Here is a 23352-nt window from a genome sequence, read left to right as displayed (position 1 = left end):
TACAGGGAGTAGAGCAGATTCAAATGCAGATTGAACAGCTGCTCAGCTCAAAAAAAAAAAATTCTCTTTGCCTACACAGAAACAGCCTCTGGGTTCCAGTTCTGCTTAGCCCCTTGAGCAGCATTTTCTCTCTACATGTGCATAAGGGATTTGGCTTCTGGCAGGCCAGGTCCCACCTGTAACTTGCTCATTCCAAGTAACACAGTTCAGAGAGCTCTGCATCTTGGTTAATAATACTAACTTTTGCTGGGGGGTGATGCTGGCTCACGCCGGTAATCCCAGCACTTTGGGAGGCCGAGGCAGGCGGATCACGAGGTCAGAAGATGGAGACCATCCTGGCTAACACGGTGAAACCCTGTCTCTACTAAAAATAGAAAGAAAAAAAAATTAGTCAGGCATGGTGGTGGGCGCCTGTAGTCCCAGCTACTTGGGAGGCTGAGGCAGGAGAATGGCATGAACCCAGGAGGCGGAGCTTGCAGTGAGCCGAGATTGGGCCACTGCACTCCAGCCTGGAGGACAGGGCAAGACTCCATCTCAAAAAAAAAAAAAAAAATTAGTGATAATAATACCTAACTTTTGTTTATTGCATTACTACTTTCAAAATACTTTACATTTCTAAGTTAGGCTCCACAATGAACAACGCTGTGAGACAGGCAGGAAAATGTAATAATAATTTCCTTATTTTTTATTCAACAAACAACAAGTGCTTACTGTGGATGTGCTTAGCACAATTCTAGCTACCGAGAGACAAACAGGAACAAAATGTGGTCCTTGCTCTCATCAGATTGGGAAACCATAGTTCAGATAAATGGATTGACACCTGCTCAAAGCCAAGCAGATCTTCCGACTCTTTACCTAGTGCTTTTTCTGCTACACGGTGCTAGGAGCAGGAGCCTTTCATTAGAAAAGTTTCGGGGTTAGGCTGACAAAGTGTGAGGTGTGCCAAGGGGACCTGTGCAGGACATAGTGAGTGCCTCTCTGGGGTGCACAGACCCCAGGTGGCTTTCCCGTTGTTTTAGCTTCCTGTGGCTATTATTGTAAAAAAATAAAATAAAAAAATAAAAATAAAATGACCACAAACTTGACGGTTTAAAACAACAAAAATTTGGTCTTTCCCAGCTCTGGAGGCCAGAAGTCTGAAATCAGTATCACTGGACTGAAATCAAGGTTTCAGCAGAGACCTTCAGCAGGGTTGCACTTTCCCCAGAGGCTCTCAGACAGAGTCTGTCCTCTGCCTCATCTGGCTTCTGGTGGCTGCTGGCATTCCTTGGGTTGTGGCCACATGGCTCCAGTCTTTCAAGCCAACATTGTAGAAATTTTTCCTGTTCCATATTCACTTCACCGTGTGTGTCTGTAAAATTTCCCTCTGCTCTCTCTTATAAAGATATTTCTGATGGTATGCAGGGCCCACCTGGATAATCAAAGGCTCTTTTTCCAAATAAGATAACATTTACAAGTTCCAGGGATCATTTGTGACTATTATTCAGCTTACTACACTCCTGCAAACCAAAGCACACTTTGAGAAGCAGTGATAAGCGTTTATCTTTTCATCTCCAAATGTGCTCCATGCAGAGGCCAGAACGCGGGCTCTAGAAAGAAGCATGAAAAATCCAGTCCAACACAAGTCAGGAGAGGGAAGGGCCTTTCACAGGTTACTTGTGCCAAGTTAATGGTCACAAAAGGATCTGGCCTCCTAGTTTCCAGTTTTCCAGTCTTGTGCTGTTTTGCAAAGAAGTTGAGACAGGGCAGGGACCCCTGTTGGGGGCCTGCTGGGCAATCCCCAAGCATGGAAATAAAGAGAAATTTTGAGTTCCTTCAAAGGAAACTTCAGGCACCGAGCCAGCTTTGAAAAGTAAGGGAGCAACTGATAAGCAAGAAAGCAATAATAGCCTAAAACAATAGCCAAGGAAGTTAGAGACACAGAATGTCTGGTTCCTTTATAGAAACTAAAGATAATATCTTTTTTTTTTTTTTTTTAGACTGAGTCTCGCTCTGTCGCCCAGGCTGGAGTGCAATGGCACAATCTTGGCTCACTGCAACCTCCACCTCCCGGGTTCACGTGATTCTCCTGCCTCAGCCTCCCTAGTAGCTGGGATTACAGGTGCCTGCCTCTACGCCCGGTTAATTTTTTTTTTTTTTTTTTTAAATAGAGACAGGGTTTCACCACGTTACTCAGGCTGGTCTTGAACTCCTGACCTCAGGTGATCTGCCTGCCTTGGCCTCCCAAAGTGCTGGGATTACAGGAGTGAGCCACGGTGCCCGGCCAATAACATCTTAATATGTCTCCCTGAGTTGTTTCTTAGAAACAACTTAGAAACCCAGACCTCTACCAAATGGACCCACTGGTGCACAGACCTCAGATGAGGGGGAACAAAGGACTGAAGTCTGACTATGATTCTTTATTCTAAATTTCTTCCTGAGGGGCCTGGAGGGAGCCACACCCACAGGTCAGAATTTAACGTTCCTTTCTGCTAACCCCAAGTTTTTAGATAAAGCTTCCCTTCCTTAACCAATTGCAAATCAGAGAATCTCTGAATTCACCATCCACCTGCGGCCTCACTTTGAGATGTCCCACCTTTATAGGTCAACCACTGTATTGATTTATGACTTTGCCTGTTATTTCTGCCTCCCCACCTTTAGTGGAAGCCATTGAGGAGTTCCGGTCTTAAGCAGTAGCTGCCTGATTCTCCTTGCTTAGTGACCTGTAATAAATGCCTCACCTTTTCTCATTGCAAATCCTGATGTCAATGTTTGGCCTTGCTGCACCAGGTGGGCAGACCCGAGTTTGCTTCAGTAACAAAGTTTTCCACTGAGATCCGGAATATGCACTCTTTACATATATGAGCCCCTCCCCTCTGCACTCACTCGCCTCCTGGGACTCTCTCCAAAGGCTGCTACTAGGGTGCTGATGTGAGGGCAGAGGAGATGGAGGGTGGGCAGAAGAGGTGAGCAGGAGGTCACAGCCTGGTTGGGGACTGAAAGAGGGCAGAGAGTGGACACTGTCCCTCTGGCATAGGGAAGATCCTCGGTCTGGTCCAAGGATGGTCCAGAGACCACTGCCAACTATTCCTTCCCCCTCCATCTCTAAGCAGTTCTGCAACAGACCTTCCCAAGGGAGCTGGTTCACAGCCTCCCCACAGAATCCCAGGCTGCCAAGGCTGATAAGAGCCCAGAGCAAAGGCATTGCCACGTCTCATTAGAGCCAGGCTGCAAGGTAAGGGCTCTGAGATTGCAGAGATCAGGGAGCCTTTGAAGTGCAAATTCAGAACTGCTGAAGGGCCTTGGCTCTTTAAAGGCAGATTCCTCTTAGAGACTGGTTAGATGAAAACTCTGGAAGTTTCATGTCATATAGCATAAAAGCCAAATACTAGCAGGGAGCTTGCCTGAAAGGATAAATACAACTGGAAGAAAGCCATCCTCTTTCTTAAACTAGCTGCCCCTGCCTGCATGGCTGCTAGCAGCCTAGCGATTCTCTGCCCTGCAGGCTGAGTCTCCATTCTCAATGGAGGACAATGAGTGCTCCATCATTCCTGATAGCCAACCAGTTGGCAAATCTTAGAGACTTGCTCTCTGCAATTCAATTCACATCAGTCGTTTCCTTGTACCACTGCCCTGTTTATGGTCCGCATTTACTACTCCTCATCTTTATTTTAATTACAAAAATAGCACATGCTTGTTTCAGAAGGGGCCAAGAGCCAAGGAATGGAAGGAGTGAAGTTCTAGAAGCTGGAAAAGACATGAAAGCAAGTTCTCCCCTGGAGCCATCTTGATTTTGGACCAGTGAAACTGGTTTTGGACTTCTTACTCCAGAACTGTGAGAGAATAAATGTATGCTGTTTTAAGTCACCACCTTTGTGGTAATTTGTTACAGCAGCCACAGGAAACTAATACAGGTTGTTTACAACTTTTCAGAATTATAAATATTTTATTATCTTCTAAATCTTGGTAGGAACCCGTGACTCCAATTTCCCATGGCTTCAGTCTGTCCTAAGCAGCCACTCCTCTGCTCCAGGGCCTGTAATGATTCCCCTACTGCTGGAAAGTGAAATCCAAACTCTTTAGCTCAAAGACCCTCCACAACCAGCCCCAACCCACTTTTCTAGCCTTAAAATCAGCTTTTTGTTCTATGACCACAACACTCTCCAAATGCGCTTTGTACATTCATTGCTGGCTCACAAAATTTTCTGTCTATGAAATGGTTTCCTTAGCCCTTAGCCCTTCTCTGCAGATGGCTTGAAGCTCCAGCTCAAATGAGATCTCTTCCTATTAAGGTCCCTCTTTGTCCTCCACCCACACCCAACAGGATGTTATTTTTGCCTTCAGTGAACATGCATAACACTTTGCATCTCTTTCCTGGCAAATATCAATTCCATCTTGTGTTTGAGTTATACATTTACGTATTATGTGCCTAGCACTTAAACAATTTGCTGAATTATTTGTTTATTAAATATTTGCTGAATTGAATTGAAATGTGAACTATGCTATGTAGAGAAGAAGGCCTCCTTCCTCCTTGTGTTCTACTTTGATATGGTAAGATGGAATCACCATTGATTTAACAATTTATTTTTATTTATTTATTTTTTTTTTTGAAGGAGTCTCGCTCTGTCACCCAGGCTGGAGTGCAGTGGCACGATCTTGGCTCACTGCAAGCTCCGCCTCCTGGGTTCATGCCATTCTCCTGCCTCAGCCTCCCGAGTAGCTGGGATTACAGGTGCCTGCCACCACGCGTGGCTAATTTTTTGTACTTTTAGTAGAGATGGGGTTTCACCATGTTAGCGAGGATGGTCTCGATCTCCTGACCTTGTAATCTGCCCACCTCGGCCTCCCAAAGTGCTGGGATTACAGGCGTGAGCCACTGCGCCCGGCCCAAAAATTTTTTTTTATTTTAATTATTCTGAGTGTATAATAGTTGTATAAACATAATTGATTTTAACAACAAAAGATGGTCATTAGAAATGGCCAAGTAAAGTAGGCTTAAATTATGATTCTGGTTTTTCAAACCTAATCCTTCATTTATTGCGTCTTTAGAGATGCAAGAATAAATGTGATGGCAGTTCATGAGGAAAGAACTGGAGAATATGAGCTGACCGCAAAGTCAACAGTGATTTCCCACTGTGATTCCGTTGTTGAAAACGCTAATACCATCTCAGGCTGCACTTACAAGAGTGCAAGTCCAGAACGAAGAGGACATTGCCTCATGGTTCTTTCAGATGCATCTTCTGTGGGAGATCTGATCAATGTGGTCACTGTGTTTTTCAGACCTGGTAGAGCCTCAGAATAACCTGTGAAGCTGTTAAAAAAAAATACAGACTTCTGGCTGGGTGCAGTGGCTCATGCCTGTAATCCCAGCACTTTGGGAGGCTGAGGCGGGTGGATCACCTGAGGTCGGGAGTTCGAGACCAGCCTGACCAACATGGAGAACCCCATCTCTACTAAAAATACAAAATTAGCCAGGCACAGTGGCATATGCCTGTAATCCCAGCTACTCGGAAGGCTGAGGCAGGAGAATCACTTGAACCTGGGAGGCAGAGGTTGCAGTCAGCCAAGATTGCGCCACTGCACTCCAGCCTGGGCAACAGAGCGAGATTCCATCTCGAAAAATAAAAAACAAAAGATAAACAAACAAAAAAAAATGCAGACTTCTGCATTCCACCTCCAAGAAATTCTGAATTCGTTGGTTGGGAGAAAGCCTAGGAATTTGTATTTTAACCAGTACAAATTATTGGAGGCTCACTGGTCTAAACAAAAACTCAGGTTGTTTTCAATGATGGGACTCTATTATTCAGAATATTGTGTCCAGTTTCTGGTTCCAGAGTCTCAAGCTCCCTGATTATTGCCTGTGCTGGGTCTCATCAAAATCAATCCCAAGTGTTGGTCTTTGATGCTGTACCTACTGAGAAACAAACGGAGCAACAAATCAATTGGCTAGCAGGGAAGGTCTGGGGTTTCAACTAACTGGTTATTTTTTGGTTAGTCACTGTCTTAGTCCATTTGTGTTGCTATAAAGGAATACCAGAGACTGGGTAATTTATAAAGAAAAGAGGTTTATGTGGCTCACTGTTCTGCAGGCTCTACAAGAAGCATGGTATCAGCATCTGCTTCTGATGATGCCTCAGGCTGCTTCCACTCAAGTTGGAAGGAAAAAGGGAGGCTGCATGTGCAGAGATCACACGGAGGAGGAGGAAGCAAAAGAGAACGTGAGTGGAGACGCCAGGTTCTTTTTAACAATCAGCTCTACAGGGGACTAGTTGGGCAAGAACTCATTCGTTCCCCTCTACCCCTGTCTCCTGAGGGGCATTAATCAATTCGGGAGGGACCCACCCCTGTGACTGTAACACCTCCCATTAGGCCCCACCTCTAACACTGAGGATCGCATTTCAACATGAGGTTTGGGAGACACAAATCCAAACTATAGCAGTCACTTAATGCACTAAGCCTCAGTTCCTCCATCAGGAATGTGGGCTGTAATTCACAAGCTCCAGCCACGTGACTGATTTCAAAGAGAGGAATGAAACAGGCCTAGACTATTATGACAGCAGAGGAGCCACCAAAGACAAAAATACCTCAGTGTTACCAGTAGTCTTGTGTGTGTGGTGGTGATAAGATCCTCAAGTGACCGTGGCGCGGGTAGAACTGGTACCTTGTCTGAGTTGATCCTATATTCTAGAAGGAGATCTGAATGATTCAAAGCAGTTACATTGCCCATAACCCTTCCTTCACCCCAGAGGCAGAGCCATTCCCACCGCCTGCGGTGGAAGCAGTGGAAGTGGTGGGGAGAGCCAAGGCCATGGGTCACAAGGCTCTGCCCCTGTCACACTGTCCATCCTGATTTCAGAGATTTACCGCTGGCACCTACATTAACAAAGCCATTGGAAGAGCCCAGTCCAGACAGATGACCAGGAGGAAGGAATCATTTCTCAGCCTTAACGCTATTTGTTGATCTTGTGCCCACTGTCATTAACCTCTGAGAGTGAAAGCAGGCTGCTCCATTACATTTTCTGATCACCCACTTTATGGCATCGTTAAAATTAATAGAGCACTCATCTCAGCACATAACGAGCAGACCGTGTTGAGGAGGCAGTGTTCCTGGAAAAATACTGGCAGAGGCCCCGAGTGTATGTTCACTGTCAGCGTGGTACAGCCCGGGCCCAGGTCCCACGCAGGTGCTGAGAACAGCTGGGAACCTTAGCTAAGACAATTGTACTGTTAAAATGGGCACTATGCATTCTCAGCCCCATTGCTCCTTGGTAGAAGGCACTGCTGAGCTGAAGCAGTACTTGGAGTCAGAGAGGAGAAAATAAGACAATTTGCACACTGATTTCTTTTGGGTTAAAGAGGAAGTGGAGGGTTTCTGTTTGGGATGATAGAAAAGTTCTGGAAATGGATGTTGGTGATGGTTGCCCAGCATTGTTCAATATACTTAACACCACTGAACTGTATACTTAAAAACGGTTAAAAGTTTTCTGGGTAACTTTTAAGTTATATGTGTTTTATCACAATTTTTTTCAAAAAAGAAAGTGGGTCAGCTCATTCATAGACAAGGTTGAAGGTAGCTAAACACTTGCCACTATGTTCCTTCTTGATTTTAAATGTCACACTGAACACATAACCCTCTGACCTCTTGGTAGAGTTGACTTATCTTGGGAACAGTGACAAAAGCTGCCTCTTATTGTAGGGACCATACATGTGCTTTTGCTGATTCTAATTATGGGGCATTTGAGAGCAAAGGGGGCTTCTCCAAACACTTGAGTAATTTTCAGAAAGGCTTGAACCCTGGCTGGGTGCGGTGGCTCATGCCTGTAATCCCAAAACTTAGGGAGGCTGAGGCAGGCGGATCATCTGAGGTCAGGAGTTTGAGATCAGCCTGGCCAACATGGTGAAACCCCATCTCTACTAAAAATACAAAAATTGGCCAGGTGTGATGGTGTGCGTCTGTAATCCCAGGTACTCGGGAGGCTGAGGCAAGAGAATTGCTTGAATCTGGGAGGCAGAGATTGCAGTGGGCCAAGATGGGGCCACTGCACTCCAGCCTGGGCGACAGAGACAGACTCTACCTTAAATGAGAGAGACAGAGAGAGAGAGAAAGGCTTGAACCCTTTTTAAGACAGGAGTAATACAGCATAGTTGCAGGACAATAGAAAATTCCAGGCAACAGTTTTACATGACTAGCAAAAGGAAACTATTAAAATAGCTGCAGAAGCTAGGAACGGCTAAGACCCTGAAAAACCAGCGTGTGCACCAAGCTGGCTAAGACTGACTGGACCAAATGTGGTGCTGGACTTGAGCCAGGTTTCACCTAGGACCTCACCTTCTGCTCATTAACATCCTAAATCACACATTCACCAGTGCCATAACAGTTTCAGGAACAACCATATTTGGTGTAAAAATGGGCAGCACCACAATTCCGAGAAATCTCCATGTTTTTCTAGGAATTTTCATGAATCTTCTACCCCTTGGTTAAAGAAAACTATAAAGGCAACAGCCCCAAACCCCCTTGGTGGATCTCTCTCTTGAGTACACCTGCATCCCCTTTTTATGAGTGTGTGCTATTCTCTTTGCAATAAATCTCTGTACTTTCACTAATATTTCCCAATTCATCTTTGAATTCATTCTTAAAATGGTGTCAAGATCCTGGACACTGGTTGGGGTTGAGGTTCCAACAGCATTTGGGGACCTCCCCCAGACTACTAGTGTCACTTTTATCCTCTGAAAGATAGATAAAAAAGCATTTGTCCCTGGCGTAGACCATCCTATTTTTCCTATGGAAATAATAAACAATTCATCCTAGTTAGTATAGATAATATATTGTTTCTACGCCAACTCGCCATTTGTCTTTCTCTTCCAGAACTGAATACTTCAATAGAGTGCTGGACTAGGAAAGGACTTTTGAATTTCTGGCCCAGATTCACATCCCTCTGTTAAATTAAGTTTAGCCTAAAGCTGCCTCCTTACATATTTTAACGTCAGCCTAAAGGTTTCTCCACACATTGTGAACTATTACCTAACTGGACGTGTGACCAGTCAGGTACTACTCTTTTGCCAGTCACCAAGTTTTGGCCAATCAAAGATAGCCAGCTATTCAAACCATGTTCAAATAAGGCAAACGCTGAGCTCTAACCAATCCAGCTGTTTCTGTACCTCACTTCCATCTTCTGCACATCACTTTCCTTTTTCTCTCCATACATCCTCTGCAACCACAGCAGAGTCTCTCTGAACCTACTGAGGTTCAGGGGACTGCCCAGTTCATGCATTGATTTGCCCAACTAAAACTCTGTTAAATGTAATTTGTCTAAAGTTTTTCTTTTATCACCTCTGCCATATTTAGGCCTCTGAATGTCTTCACCATCCAGAGACAGATAAAATGTAAAGACTGAAAGAGGCCTGAAGTGTCCACCTCTATGAAACCCCGTGCAATGCCTGTCAAATGGTCACGGTCTTTGGTCAGACACCTCTGGCCTGGCTTTCTCTTTGAGAAAAGTCACACCCTGTAACTATTACTCATCCTACATCCTCAGAGAGCCTGCCGACATAAATAAGAACTCAGACATAAATTAGGTTTCAGACACCAATAGATTTTTTAAGTATCTTCCACCAATCTCTGTATCTCTACTGGCTTTAGATTGGGTTATTTTAATCTTCCAGGAAGATGTTTGTAGGTTCAGAAATTTCAGATCAATTCACGTTTTCTACTTGCAGTTTCTAGCTCGAAATCACGTATGGAAGCTGAGTCACCTCCGTTTCTCCTGGAGCCCGAGCTGGCTGTCACCGAGACCTTGCTCATTATGCAGACTCATTCACATGCATACCCAAAGCAACACTTGACGGTTGTGGAAGATTTCCATCCTCACAGGTCATGAAATGCGTCTCCACTGGAATACTGGTTGTTTATCACCTACACTAACGATTTACAATGGCCTAAGTGTTGTATTCCTAGTGACTGTAGTCTGAATCAAAAACTCCTGCCCTGAAGCAAGGACAACTTCTTTATTCACATGGAGAATGATAGCAGGGAAAAGGCAAAAATTTAACAATAACGAAGAAAAATCCCTCTTTTTCTATGTGCAGAATAAAAATCTTATTAAAATAAGACCTTTCAAGTGCTTCCTTTCACTGTTCATTTGGGAAGGTATTTCACAGACGGTATGAACACCCTGAAATGTTGCCCGGTCTGAAATCTTTTATCTGCAGCTTTAGAAGAACAAAGGGTAAAACATATGGAAAGGAGAAACCAGCAGTAGACGGCACAGCTAAGGACAGGGACAGGAATGCAAATTATGATTCTTGTCTCAAAATATTTCTGGTCAGTTTCTACCCACCGAGGGCCATCTCTGGGTGCAGGGTAGAGACTGCATATGGGGTGATTAAGGGCCCTGTGATTTCTTGACACCAACACAGAACTGCGAGCTTTGCAAGTCCTTGCCTTTTATCAAAGACACACTTTTTTTTTTTTTTTTTGAGACGGCGTCTCGCTGTGTCGCCCAGGCTGGAGTGCAGTGGTGCGATCTCGGCTCACTGCAAGCTGCGCCTCCCGGGTTCACGCCATTCTCCTGCCTCAGCCTCCCGAGTAGCTGGGACTACAGGCACCCACCACCATGCCCAGCTAATTTTCTTTTGTATTTTTAGTAGAGACGGGGTTTCACCGTGTTAGCCAGGATGGTCTTGATCTCCTGACCTCGTGATCCACCTGCCTCGGCCTCCTAAACTGCTGAGATTACAGGCGTAAGCCACCACGCCTGGCCCAAAGACACACTTTTAAAAGAAATGAGGAAGGTGGATTTTCATTTTTGCAAAGTCATCGTTGGGATAGGTAGAATTGTGTTTCCCCAAAGTTTGAATGTTAAAGTCCTAACCCCCAGTACTTCACAACGCAACCTTATTTGGAAAAAGGTGATTGTAAATGTAATTGATAGATGATACTGGAATAGGGTAGGCCCCTAATCCAGTATCAGTGGTGCCCTTATTAAAAAAAAGGGGAATTTGGATACAGAGACAGAGAGAAGACCTTGTGAAGACACAAGAAGATGCCATCTACAAGGAACACCAAAGATTCCCAGAAAGCCACCAGAAGTAAGGAGAGAGGCATGAAACTGATCTTCCCTCACAGCCCTCGGAAGGAACCAGCCCTCTTGACACCTTGATCTTGGACTTCTACCCTCTTGAACTGTGAGAAAATACATTTCTGTTGTGTAAACTACCCAGCTTCTGGTTTTTTGTAACGGTAGCCCTAGAAAACTAACACAGTGGTCAAACTGAAAGCATTTATTTCAGTGTATTGTTTTTGCAAAGTCGTAGAAGCTGCAATACCTAAAAGTACAATTTTATTTTCAAAGCATTATGACTAGAAATATTTCTTACTATCTTGATTTCTATTCTATTGCTCATACACACTCCTCATGCACACATGTAGATTTGTATATAATTCATAGAGTCTTTCTCTATTCCTGATTCCTTATGTTTGGAATTCCTATTCTTAGCCCTTAAAAATATTTCCAAAGACTTCCTTTCTTAGATTCCTTCCTTCCTTCCTTCCTTCCTTCCTTCCTTCCTTCCTTGCTTCCTTCCTTCTGCCTTCCTGCCTGCCTTCCTGCCTTCCTTCCTAACTTCCTGCCTTCTTACCTGCCTGCCTTCCTGCCTTCCTGCCTGCCTGCCTTCCTTCTTTTCTTTCTACTTTTTCTTTCTTTCTTGACTTTATTGCTTATTGCAGCTGAAAATGTTCTCTCACAAAGATGCACAGAGCCAGATGGAACAAAAACCTCTTTAGATGCTCATTTTCATTCCACTCCATCGATTGTGTAAAGGTTTTTGTTTAAATTGTGCTGGTAATTTTTGTTTTCTCTGATATCAAGAAGTTTCTCTTCCTAACTGATCACAAGGTGCAGTAGCTCTCCCTTATCCATGGGAGATGCTTTCCAAGACCTCCAGTGGTTGCCTGAAACCTCGGATAGTACCGAACCCTATATAGAGTATGTTTTTTCCTGTACATTTATATCTATGATAAAATCTATCAGTTATGCACAGTAAGAGAATAACAACAACAATAATAAAATAGAACATTTATAACAATACGGTGTACTAAAAGTTACATGAATATGGTCCTCTTTTTCTCAAAACGTCTCACTGTACTGTACTGCGGGTAACTAGAACCACAGGAAGTAAAACCACAGATGGTGGGGGGACTACTGGATTTCATTTTGGTGTTTTTAACAAATAGGTTAAAAACTCATTAAAACTTTTTTTGGAAGAATTTTTAACAGATTTTTTTTTGAGACAGAGTCTTGCTCTGTCGCCCAGGCTGGAGTGCAGTGGTGCGATCTCGGCTCACTGCAAGCTCCACCTCCTGGGTTCAAGCCATTCTCCTGCCTAAGCCTCCCAAGTAGCTGGGACTACAGGCGTCCACCACCACACCTGGCTAATTTTTTTGTATTTTTAGTAGAGACGGGGTTTCACCATGTTAGCCAAGATGGTCTCGATCTCCTGTCCTCACAATCTACCTGCCTCGGCCTCCCAAAGTGCTGGGACTACCGGCGTGAGACACCACGCCTGGCCCGTTTACAGATTTTTGATAGTTTAAGTGTAATAATATGAGAGTTTTTATATGTGACACACAGAATTTTTAAATTAAAAAAAAGAACACATAAACTTGAAAATGTTTCCAAATATTCACTTTCAAATTATTCTTTTCATAGCATGCATTTCTTCAAAAAGCATCTTCTCACAGATTGGCCATCTTCTTTTAAAATCTGATAGATCATCTCTGATTTTTAAAATAACTCATCATGTGGGCAGATACAGAGCCCACTTGGCAAGTAGAATAAATGTCAGGTCTTCCTTTTTCTTGATATTCTCTTGTGCTTGCATTATTATTATCTTCAATGGACTACTCAGGTTGTTTGGACATTTTCTGGGTCAGAGTTTTCTGCAGTGATGACATAGGCAATTCCTTGAAGAAACTGTTTTAAGCCACTTGTTCATTTTGTGAGGATTAGTTTAATCTAGATAACAATACCTGTAAGTGCATTTAACTGGGAGCATGTCCAGTGCAACATTGTCCAATAACCTGATAGCCTGATAGCTCATGGCTAAGTGAGGGGCTGCCATCATTATTCTTTTTTTTTTTTTTTTTTTTTTTTGAGACAGGGTCTTGCTCTGTCACTCAGGCGGGAGTGCAGTGGAACAATCTTGGCTTACTGCAACCTCCACTTCCCAAGCTCAAGTGAGCCTCCCACTTCAGCCTCTCTAGGAGCTGGGACTACAGGCACGTGCCACCACACCCAGCTAATTTCTGTGTTTTTGTAGAGATGGTGTTTTGCCACGTTGCCCAGGTCTTGAACTCCTGGGCTCAAGCGATCCACCTGTCTAGTCCTCCCAAAGCTCTAGAATCACAGGTGTGAGCCACTGTGCTCAGCCCATTTACATTCTTGATCAAATAATCTCCACTCTTCTCTTAAGATCCTGGGAACACTACATGGGTCCCATGATGATGTTTGGGACTTGCAGACTAAATGAGACCGCCAATTTAATGCATCTATTAATATTAGTCAAGTTAAACGTCTTAATTTTTGATAAAACTAAATGTAAGTGGAAGTTTTAGCATTTTCTCCAGCACTCCAATGGATCAGCGCTGGACATTCTGTTTGGGAGACCACTGATCTAGATCAAGGGCTGTTGGAAGGGCTGTGAAATTCTTTAATACTTAAAAAATTATTTAATTTAAAAAATTGACAGATAACATGATGTTTTCAAATATGTCTACCTTGTGGAATGGGAAAGTCAAGCTAATTAACATATGCATTACTTCGCATAAATCCTTTGATACTTTTTATTAGATTCTGCCATATTGCTTACTATAGCTTTGGGAAACACAGGGGCGATATGGATGGATCACCATTGTACAGTCAAAGAAACTCACAGGAAGGCACCCTGGTCACTTCCAAGATTGTGGACTACTGGGGCCATCTCTGTTTTATTACCTCTAATCACTAAGTGAGTCTTTGCCCCATTTTCTTAAGGCTGTGTTGTTCTTTTAGACTGGCTACAGTGGGGCTTCCAAAGATAAGACAGAATATCCCATAGCAAACAAGCTGTCAAGTTGGCCAGGGTGATTTGTTAGGATTTCTTTTTTGGCCAATTAAAAAATAGCTGTCAAAAGCACTACTTTGTAGGACTCATTAAGGTAATGTTCAAATTGTCTCTAATGGTTCTTTGACCATGATTAAGCAAAACAAATAACACAAAACAAAAATCTTCCTATTTCCCAGAGTCCTGGGTTTATCACAAATGCTATTAAGGTTACGAGTTTTGTCCTTTGATAAAAGAAGAACCACGTTTGGAAATTGTCATTACCCTTTATTTTTCAACACACACACACACACACACACACACACACACACTCCTACATTGGTTTGTTTCTGAGCGATGTGTAAGGGAATTAAAAAAATCCTTTGGTAAATACATATGCTAGTGTAAATGGGTAGAAGTTATTAGTTTTAAACACTTCATATAGTATGGAGTGCAAGTAACAAGGCTCCCAGCTGAAATGATTAAAAAGTGATATTGTAGAAAAAGGTGTGGTCCCAGACTTCCTGTACCAGTGTTACTTGTTGAGATTGTTCTGAATCTGCCTATTCTCAGGTTCCTCCTCCAGGATACTGACATAGCAACAACACGGATTTTTCAGGCGATTCTTAGGAACAATGGAGTTTGAGCACCATTTGGTCTAGGCTGTGTGTCAATAAAGGTATCAACTCAAGCGTGTACACACTGCAGTCTGCTGTACTGGAAATGACTTATTTATTCTACGTTCATTCACAGCTTCTGTTTATGGCATAATACCTTCTGAGAGTAGGCCATTATGACAACAATGCCTCTGTTTCCTCCAGATTCTTGGCTGTCACTATCCTGACCTACCACCTGTGTCACATCCCATTAGGTTCTGTGGATGAGGCATGGTGCTTGGCACAGACTGACACAAGTTTGGGCAAACTTGGCAGAGCAGCCTAACCCAAAGCGAAAAACAGAAATGAACCAAGATACAACCTCTGTGGAAAACCCTACTGAACAAAAGCAACTCTGTGGAGTGTCCTCTCAGCTGCAAATTGAGACAGAATTGTGGGGCAAGCTTGGCCACTGATGCAGGTGATGGGCCCGGGGCTGGGATGAACAATGGGGACAGTGATTGTTGGTTCAAAACCAGTTTCTTTGACATGCATTTCCCAGCGTGTGTTCTATAGAACACCAATCTTACCCGATGTTCCAGGACGAAAGGGTTTCATGGTTAAAACCCTCTCTTGGATATTCTCAAGTCTTTTTTTTTTTTAACTTTCCATTTTGAAATAATTACAGACTCAAAAGAAGTTGCAAAATAGTCTTGTGTATCCTTCGTCCAACTTCCCCCAGAGGGACATTTTATATAGCTGTTGTACAATGTCACCCAGGAAATTGATATGATACAGTGTCATTAACTACAGGCCTTATTCCGTTTTCAACAATTTTTACATGCATTCAGCTGTGTGTGTATGTGTATAGTTTGCTGCACTTTTATGCTGTGTGTAGATTTGTGGAACCACATCATCACAAAGTGGCTCCCTTGTACTATCCCTTTGTATTCATCCGCTCTTTCCATCCCTGTCCCCTGGCAACTCTAATCTGCTCTAATCTTTACAGTTTTGTCATTTCAAGAACATTGTATATATGGAGTTATATATGGACTCACACAGGTATGTAAAATTTTGAGATGGGCTTTTTCCACTAAGCACAATGCCCTTTAAGATAGGTCCAGGTTGTTGCATGCATCAATAGTTTGTTCCTTTATGTTGTTGAGTAGTATTCCCTGGCGTGACTCTACCATGGTTAGTTTAATCATTCATCATTGAAGGACACTTGGATTGTTCCCAGTTTGGGGTGATTATAAGTAAAGATATGAACATTCAGGTACAAGTTTTTATATGGACATACGTTTTCATTTTTCCAGAATAAATGTCCAAGAATATAATTGCTTGGTTGAATGGTAGTTACACATTTAACTTAATAAGAAACAGCCAATGCACTGTTTCAAATTCCCACCAGGCACGCATGAGAAATTCAGTTTCTCTTCTTCTTCTCCAGCATTGTTGCTGTTTTGTAGTTGTTCTAACAGGTGTGTCGGGATATCTCATTGTAATTGTAGTTTGCATTTTCCTAATAGTTAATGATTACAAATATCTTTGCATGTTCTTATTTCATCTGTATCTCCTCTTTGGTGAAATGTCTGCTCATGTTTTTGCCCATTTGATAACTGGATTTGGGGGTTGTTTTAATTGTTGAGTTTTGAAGGTTATTTATAGATTCTAGATTCTAGTCCTTTTTCAGTTTCATGTATATCCTCCCAGGGGGTAGGATGTCTTTTATTTGCTTAACCACATTTTCCACAGCACAAAAGTTTTTCATTTTGATGAACTCTGATTTACTTTGTTTTTATGGACTGCATTTTGTTGTCATGTCTAATAATCCTTCACCTAACCCTTGGTCCTGAAGATTTTCTCTTAAGATTTCTTCTAAAAGTTTTATAGTTTTACATTTAAATCTGTTTAAATACAATATATAGTCCCAGTTTTACATTTAAATCCATGATCCATCTTAGATCACTTTGAGTTAATTTCTACATAAGCTGTGAGACTTAGGTCAAGATTTATTCTCAATGCTTTTTCATATATTAAGGGCTAATTAACATTCCAAAGTCAAAGAAATGTATTTTTAAGTTTAACCCATTTCTGAAACTTGGCCACCTATTCATGCAGCCAGTATGTATAGGGCAATTTCTGTATACAAGGTACAGGGTTGGATATTGAGAAAATGGGCAGAACCTCTGTCCTCTATGAACTGGTTTATTTTTATTCATTTCCATACATATACTATTTGTTTACACAACACCCTTGGAACTGTGTTTTGTGCAAATATTACTGAAATACCAAGGATTTGGTCTAGATTCTGCAGCTTGCTACACAGAAAGCCAGAGACCGAGAGCCAATGACTGAGACTATGAGTATTGCCAAGGAAGAAGGCTTTAATCGGGTGCTGCAGCTGAAAAGATGAGAGCTCAGCCTCAAATCCATCTCCCTGACCAACTAAAGCTAAGGATTTATATAGCAGGGAAGAAGACAGGAACTAGGAAGGGGCAAGGAAGCGATCCTGATGAATGAAGGGTCAGGCATTTCATTGTCTGGATGTGGCGATCTGGTGAGTTTCAGTTCTTTGATACTTTTTTGGGGAGGTTGAAGGTCATTTCCTGAGGAAGGAACTCCGATAAAGCAAATGTAGTTTCAAGTTTTAAGACCAGAAGGGTCAATCTCTGTGTTTATCCAAAAAACTACCTATGGGAGGATTGAGTTGGTTTCAGAATTCTTTAGGAAATTCTGCTCAAGGCAGCAGACAAACAAAGAGACTGTCAGGTATCAGTGGAAGCAAAGAGAGATGCAAAATCAGAATGGTACACAGGCAAGAGTCAGGATCTGTTAGCAATCTGCAGTCAAAAGCCAGGAAGGCAGACAGAGGAAGAGGGCTCGGGAGCTGGAGGGAGAGTGCCAGGGATCAGACATGTCTGATGGGCTTTGATGGTCAGTGCCTAGTCCAGTTTTTAAAGATCTGAGGGCCTTTTTCTTTCCTTTTTATTTGCTGGGCAATGCAATGTTAGTGTCTGGCAGGAACCAGTTAGGTTTATATACACACACACACACATTAAAAAAAATTTTTTTTAATGCAAGGAGGCTTCCTTGTCCATACTAGTTTGGAAGCAAAAACATATGGTCACAGCAATACTCACAATACATGTCTCTGGCATTTCCAGCTGCCCCACACCCTGTGAAATCATGATGGAAGTGTCTATGTGTTGCCTGTGCTCCATGCCTCTTCCCAGTGACCTGAGGAATGACCCCTTTACTCTTTCCTATTCCAGCTCACACTGGTCACACCTGGGACTTCCAACATGAATGCTTTTGTCACGGATGCTGCGCTGCTGCTGTTTCTGGTTCTTACTCTGCTTACACCAAGGAGACTGATGTCCCTGCTATAACCCCACTTCCGATGCAGACAGCAATTCCAATGCATTGCAGCTTTCAGGATTTTCTCACTGTGTTTTTGCCTCTCCTTTTCTTTAAGACATGAGCATTTGTCTACGGGGATGGCCTGAAGTGTAGTCTCCATTACCCAGAGTCATCTCACTCTCTGACCTTGACTCATGATCTGAGAACAAGTGCTCCCCTGCTTGTCTTCCTGAGGGGCATCTGTCCCTCTTGCAAACAGATTTCCTTTGGGCTCTGTCATTTAGAAATGCCCTTATTTATCTGAATTATAGTTCCAGTTCAGAACATTTACAAAGGAACAGATTGCTCCCAATTTTAAAGCAGGTAAATTCTAAAAGTTGGCAAGCCAGTCATTTAGAATTTGAGCCTCATATTCCATAGGTATGAAATTATACATAATGAAAAAGTTCCCAGGGCAGCCCACAAAAAGCCTACTTATCCAAAATAAAGCTAACCTGAGTTAATTCAGCTCTATGGCCTAGCCACATTCAGCAATGTGTTTCCATTAGAATGCATGTCTTATATCAACTGGGAAGCCAAGAAGGCAGTTCAGAACTGAACTGAAATCTATCCTGTGTTGGAATTTTATAGCCAGATATCAGTTAACCAGGCCCCAGTGAGTGGAGAAATCTTGGATTTAGATTCTCATGAAATTCTTTATCAAATCCTGGGATCTTCCAAAAGACTGTGTAAAATTATAATTTAATTCTGCAGAAGTAGAACCTCAATTGGATATCATCCACAAAAGCACTGCAATGTCTATCTTTTTGGGATCATGTCAAAGATCCTAAATCCATGCTTACTTTGGCAGAAAGTATTAGTGTTTAGTTCATTAGTAATTGGCACATTGGAATGATATAGAGAAGATTAGCACGGCCCTGCACAAAGATGCCGTGCAAATTTGTGAAGCTTTCCATATTTTTATTGCATTTACTCCATCATATGTGGGAGCTAAAAGAAGGTGATCTTACAGAGGTAGAGAGTAGAACGTTTACTAGCAGTTAAGAAGGACATGAAGGTGGGGGAATGAAGAAAGGTTGGTTAGGGGTACAAACATATAGTTAGAAAGAATAAGTTCTAACGTTAGATGGTAGAATAGGGCGACTGCATTACATATTTTGAAAATAGCTAGAAGATAGGACTTGAAATGTTCCCAGCACCTGGAAATAAATACTCCAGCTGGATACCCTGATACCCTGTCTTGATCATAACACATTCCATGCATGTAACAAAACATCACATATACACCATGAATATGTGAAAATATTATGTATCAATTACAAAAAGATACTAAATCAAGAAGGAATGCAGGCACCGCTGTTGGAGGTGGCCCTGGCATCTGGTGATGAGTAGTAGACAGAGAGACGCAGGCGGGACATAAGAGAGGCCGCAAACTGTAGGTACCTGATTCAGGAAGCCGTTTTGATCCATTGTGAATGTAATTAAGTTGTGTTTTCTGTTCCGAAAGGATAGCCGTCCCTTCGCCATTTGTCTATTCCCCATTTTTCTGTACTAATGTTTCCTTATCTTACACTGAACAGGCGAACAGGCTATTAAATAATACAAGGAAGAAAACATGAGGGATTGTCTTTAAAAGTGATCAAACGGCAAAGGGGATTCCTGACCAAAGCGAAAGAGGAATGGAGTGACACCTGCTATGTGCCAGTCACTGTGCTGTGTCTTTTTTTCTTTTCTTTTTTTCTTGTTTTTTTTTTTTTTTTTTTTTTTGAGACGGAGTCTCGCTCTGTCGCCCAGGCTGGAGTGCGGTGGCGCGATCTCAAGCTCCGCCTCCCGGGTTCACGCCATTCTCCTGCCTCAGCCTCCTGAGTAGCTGGGACTACAGGCGCCCGCCACCACACACGGCTAATTTTATGTATTTTTAGTAGAGATGGGTTTCACCCTGTTAGCCAGGATGATCTCGATCTCCTGACCTCGTGATCCACCCGCCTCGGCCTCCCAAAGTGCTGGGATTACAGGCGTGAGCCACCGCACCCGGACTGTGCTGTGTCTTTTCAACTGCCTTTCTTTATCCATTCTCATTAAAAACACACACACACACACACGAAATGCATATTGTTATCCCTACTTAATTGACAGAAATGGAAGCCCGGTGGGTTACAGTAGACTGAGAGCCTTTAGTCAGCAAGTAAGGGCCATTGCAGGGATTGAAACCCAACTTCTGACTTCAGAGCGACAGTTTTCCCGCTGCTCCGCAGCACCTTCTACCACTGAAATAGAGCATTTCCATGTCACCCCCTCTAGAAACAAAAACATTTTACTCAATTGTTTTTCAACCAGGAAATAAAAATATTCAAAAAGCAAAGATGACCCCATTTCCTCTTAACTATATTTAATACAGGGACAGTGATAAGAGAACACAGTAGATTTGGCATTAGCTAGACGAGGCTGGTCAAACTGAATTAGAAGGGCACAGTTTGTTGACAGCCGCGATAGACAGTGGGTTCTGTGAAATGGACCCCAAGCCAGTTAACACTGATGGGGAAGAAGCCCACCTGCTCGTGAGACTTTGCGTGGGGCCCGGCTCAGTGCCTTAAATAAGGGATCATTATGTATACAATCTGATAGTAGAAAGAAGGAAAAAAGCCCTGTGCTGTAGAAAAAGTGTTTAAGCTTTTTAGATTACATAACGGGAGCTATAACATCCACTCTGGTGGCACAAAAATTAAATCTAGCCACCAAATCATATCAAAGCCAAAATACAGAATACAGGTGTGCTTCTCGTGAGAAGATCCATACGCACAAAATCTAATCGCGTTCCAGCTCAGCCTCACCGATACCCGCTCCCGCGATCCTGTTTCTGGTGCTGCATGACAAGCTCCCCCTAGTGGGAAGCAGGGACATTTCAGCATCCATGCTCAGCTGATTCAGAACAATAGAAATGTCTCAAGGTTTCCATTTTTTTTAAATGCTGCTTTAGTTGGACAGTGAGCAAAAACTGGAGCCAAAACCAGTGGATTTTCATGGCATGCAGGTAACAGTGGGACTTTTCACCCTCCCCTCGTGTTTATGCTCAGGAAATCCTAAAAGGACACACCCTGTAAGTGCAGGGATGTCTGAACAATCCCGTTCATGCCTATGCACACATCAGTCTCTCTCAATCCCTTATCTCCAATAGGAACCAACAATAAAATGTATCCTAGGTTGTCGCAAACACCGTATGTGGTGCGCATAATCGGAAGGTCCCTTCCTTTTTTTTTTTTTTTTTTTGAGACGGAGTCTTGCTCTCTGTTTCCCAAGCTGGAGTGCAGTGGCGCAATCTCGGCTCACTGCAAGCTCTGCCTCCCGGGTTCACTCCATCCTCCTGCCTCAGCCTCCCGAGTAGCTGGGACTACAGGCGCCCGCCACCACGCCCGGCTAATTTTTGTATTTTTAGTAGAGACGGTGTTTCACCGTGTTAGCCAGGATGATCTCGATCTCCTGACCTCGTGATCCGCCCGCCTCGGCCTCCCAAAGTGCTGGGATTACAGGCGTGAGCCACCACGCCCGGCCTTGGAAGGGCCCTTCTAATGCTGCTGACACCTGACTTAGTTGGGTAGAACCCCAGCTTCACATCTGCTTTGCTTTCTGCTTTACTGATAGCCTTTGTGTGCACTCAAAGGGCTGCTGACAAGATCTGTCCAGTGACATTTTTATGTGCCCTTTAATCTTATTTTATTAACAGGTCAACAACCTTAACCAAGAGTAAGGAAGCCACTTGCTCCAAGTCACAGTAGAAGGTTGAGCATGTGACTATTACCAAGAGGAAGTGGGGACACAAGTGACGCCATGTTGGAGGCTAATTTGCTGTTTTCACTTCTGATTAGCCGTTGTCTCGGGAATGCCTTCTGATTATTACTTAATTTACTGTCCCTAATGTAAGAACATGTCAACCTCGATGCTGTTGCACAAATTATAGGCTTTGATGCATGCAGCATTCTTGCCTCTTCTGGAGGGTAGTCTTTCATTGTCTTGCACAGGGCACACATACCCTTTCCCTATGCTATATAAGCCCTGGTTCTGGGGGTAACAGGTGCAGAGATCTACCTGTATTGCTGCCGCTAAAGACCATGCTTCCATCTGTAAGTTTCCCCAGTAAAACATCCTTTATCAACAAACTGGAGTTGTGTGGCTTGTTCTTTGGTTTCTTGGCTCTTTTGGCCTTTGGGGGCTACTTTGCATATATGACCGTTTCACGGAGCGGGCATTTTCCCGTGATATCCAGCTGGCTGCTGCCACTGCCATAGAGCAACTCTGCGAGAGAACTCGGCCCCCTCTCCCTTCAAGTGTTGAAAAGAGCAAGAAGTACAGGCTACTCCATAGGCCCAGTGCCCAAGGCCCTGATGGAGCTATCCAATTCTCACTGTTAGCCTGGGCACCCTCCAGGACACCAAACATTCTGTACTTAGGCAGCCCTCAAGAAGAGGCAGTAGAAGAATTAAGCACACTTTCCAGGTTAAAAACTCCTTGTGTTGCAGATCTCAGGACAGGCCGAAGCTCTTCTGGGGAGTATTTATCCCCATTAATGCATTGTCATCAAGATGGGGTGTATAACCTACAAAGAAAGTCATCACACAGTATCCAGCTGCCATAGAAAGAAAATCGATTGTGTTGCATGGATTTGTGCAATATAAATATTTCTTGAAAGAAAGAAATAATGAACGATTACGTCACTAGTTTTTAGGCATTGATTTTTGAGAATTTGTATATGTAGAAGTTGAGTGTTCTGAAATTAGTACATTGTGAATGGGGAAGGAGTCAACTCGCTTAAGGAAATATAATAGCTGCATGGAGCTGGAGACAGAGTAGGATGAGGCAAGAAGAAAGGCCTGGAGCAGGGCCAGGACTGTGAGACCCACACTTGGTGCTTTTTTTTTGAGATGGAGTCTCGCTCTGTTGCCAGGCTGGAGTGCCGTGGCGCGATCTTGGCTCACTGCAACCTCAGCCTCCCGAGTAGCTAGGACTACAGGCATGCGCCACCACACCCAACTACTTTTTCTATTTTTAGTAGGGACGGGATTTCACCCTGTTGGCCAGGATGGTCTCTTATCTCCTGACCTCGTGATCCACCCACCTCGGCCCCCCAAAGTGCTGGGATTACAGGCTTGAGCCACCGCACCTGGCCCACTTGGTCCTTTTAACAGGGACCTCCTAGGGCCTAGGGGATGGGATTAGCTCCAGACCTCACTGTATCCAAATGTCTCTCCACCGTTAGGGAGAGAAGAGAGGAAGGCAGAGAAGGCCTGAACAAGCCTGGCTGGGGAGGGCTCCCAGAGTCCTTGTGACAGAGATGACTCTA

At 43.3% G+C, this 23352-nt stretch overlaps 3 long non-coding RNA genes and 1 pseudogene across 8 annotated transcripts in view, besides 2 other annotated features; 3 read left to right on the top strand and 1 right to left on the bottom strand.

Annotated features, from left to right (window-relative positions):
• LOC105379231 (uncharacterized) overlaps positions 1-23352 on the bottom strand; it is a 62356-nt gene that overhangs the window by 35572 nt on the left and 3432 nt on the right. The gene's annotated exons all lie outside the window — the stretch shown is intronic.
• On the top strand, positions 3738-10087 carry LOC124901884 (uncharacterized). The gene is made up of 3 exons (XR_007060813.1): positions 3738-3814; positions 6069-6197; positions 9697-10087. It is a non-coding gene; the product is annotated as an uncharacterized LOC124901884 (long non-coding RNA).
• Positions 5774-6973: an enhancer, noted in NCBI's record as "BRD4-independent group 4 enhancer chr8:9240606-9241805 (GRCh37/hg19 assembly coordinates)". NCBI's record gives its function as "activates an origin of replication core promoter dependent on BRD2, P300/CBP, MED14 and CDK7 cofactors, and independent of BRD4, by STARR-seq in HCT116 cells {active_cell/tissue: HCT116}" and the evidence as "EXISTENCE:reporter gene assay evidence [ECO:0000049][PMID:35650434]".
• LOC105379230 (uncharacterized) lies at positions 14749-18524 on the top strand. Of its 3 annotated transcripts, NR_188126.1 has the most exons (4): positions 14749-15135; positions 15664-15716; positions 16963-17214; positions 17930-18524. It is a non-coding gene; the product is annotated as an uncharacterized LOC105379230 (long non-coding RNA). The 3 variants fall into 3 exon arrangements; NR_188127.1 differs by lacking the exon at positions 15664-15716 and having other exon boundaries at positions 16972-17214; NR_188125.1 differs by lacking the exon at positions 15664-15716.
• On the top strand, positions 18874-18979 carry RNU6-526P (RNA, U6 small nuclear 526, pseudogene; annotated as a pseudogene).
• Positions 20779-20828: an enhancer, noted in NCBI's record as "active region_26982". NCBI's record gives its function as "activates an Ori minimal core promoter by ATAC-STARR-seq in GM12878 lymphoblastoid cells {active_cell/tissue: GM12878}" and the evidence as "EXISTENCE:reporter gene assay evidence [ECO:0000049][PMID:35858748]".

Source organism: Homo sapiens, chromosome 8 (assembly GCF_000001405.40).
Source record: "Homo sapiens chromosome 8, GRCh38.p14 Primary Assembly".
NCBI lineage: Eukaryota > Metazoa > Chordata > Mammalia > Primates > Hominidae > Homo > Homo sapiens.
Note: the sequence above shows the minus strand (reverse complement) of the source record. Positions and strands in the feature narration are given on the sequence as shown.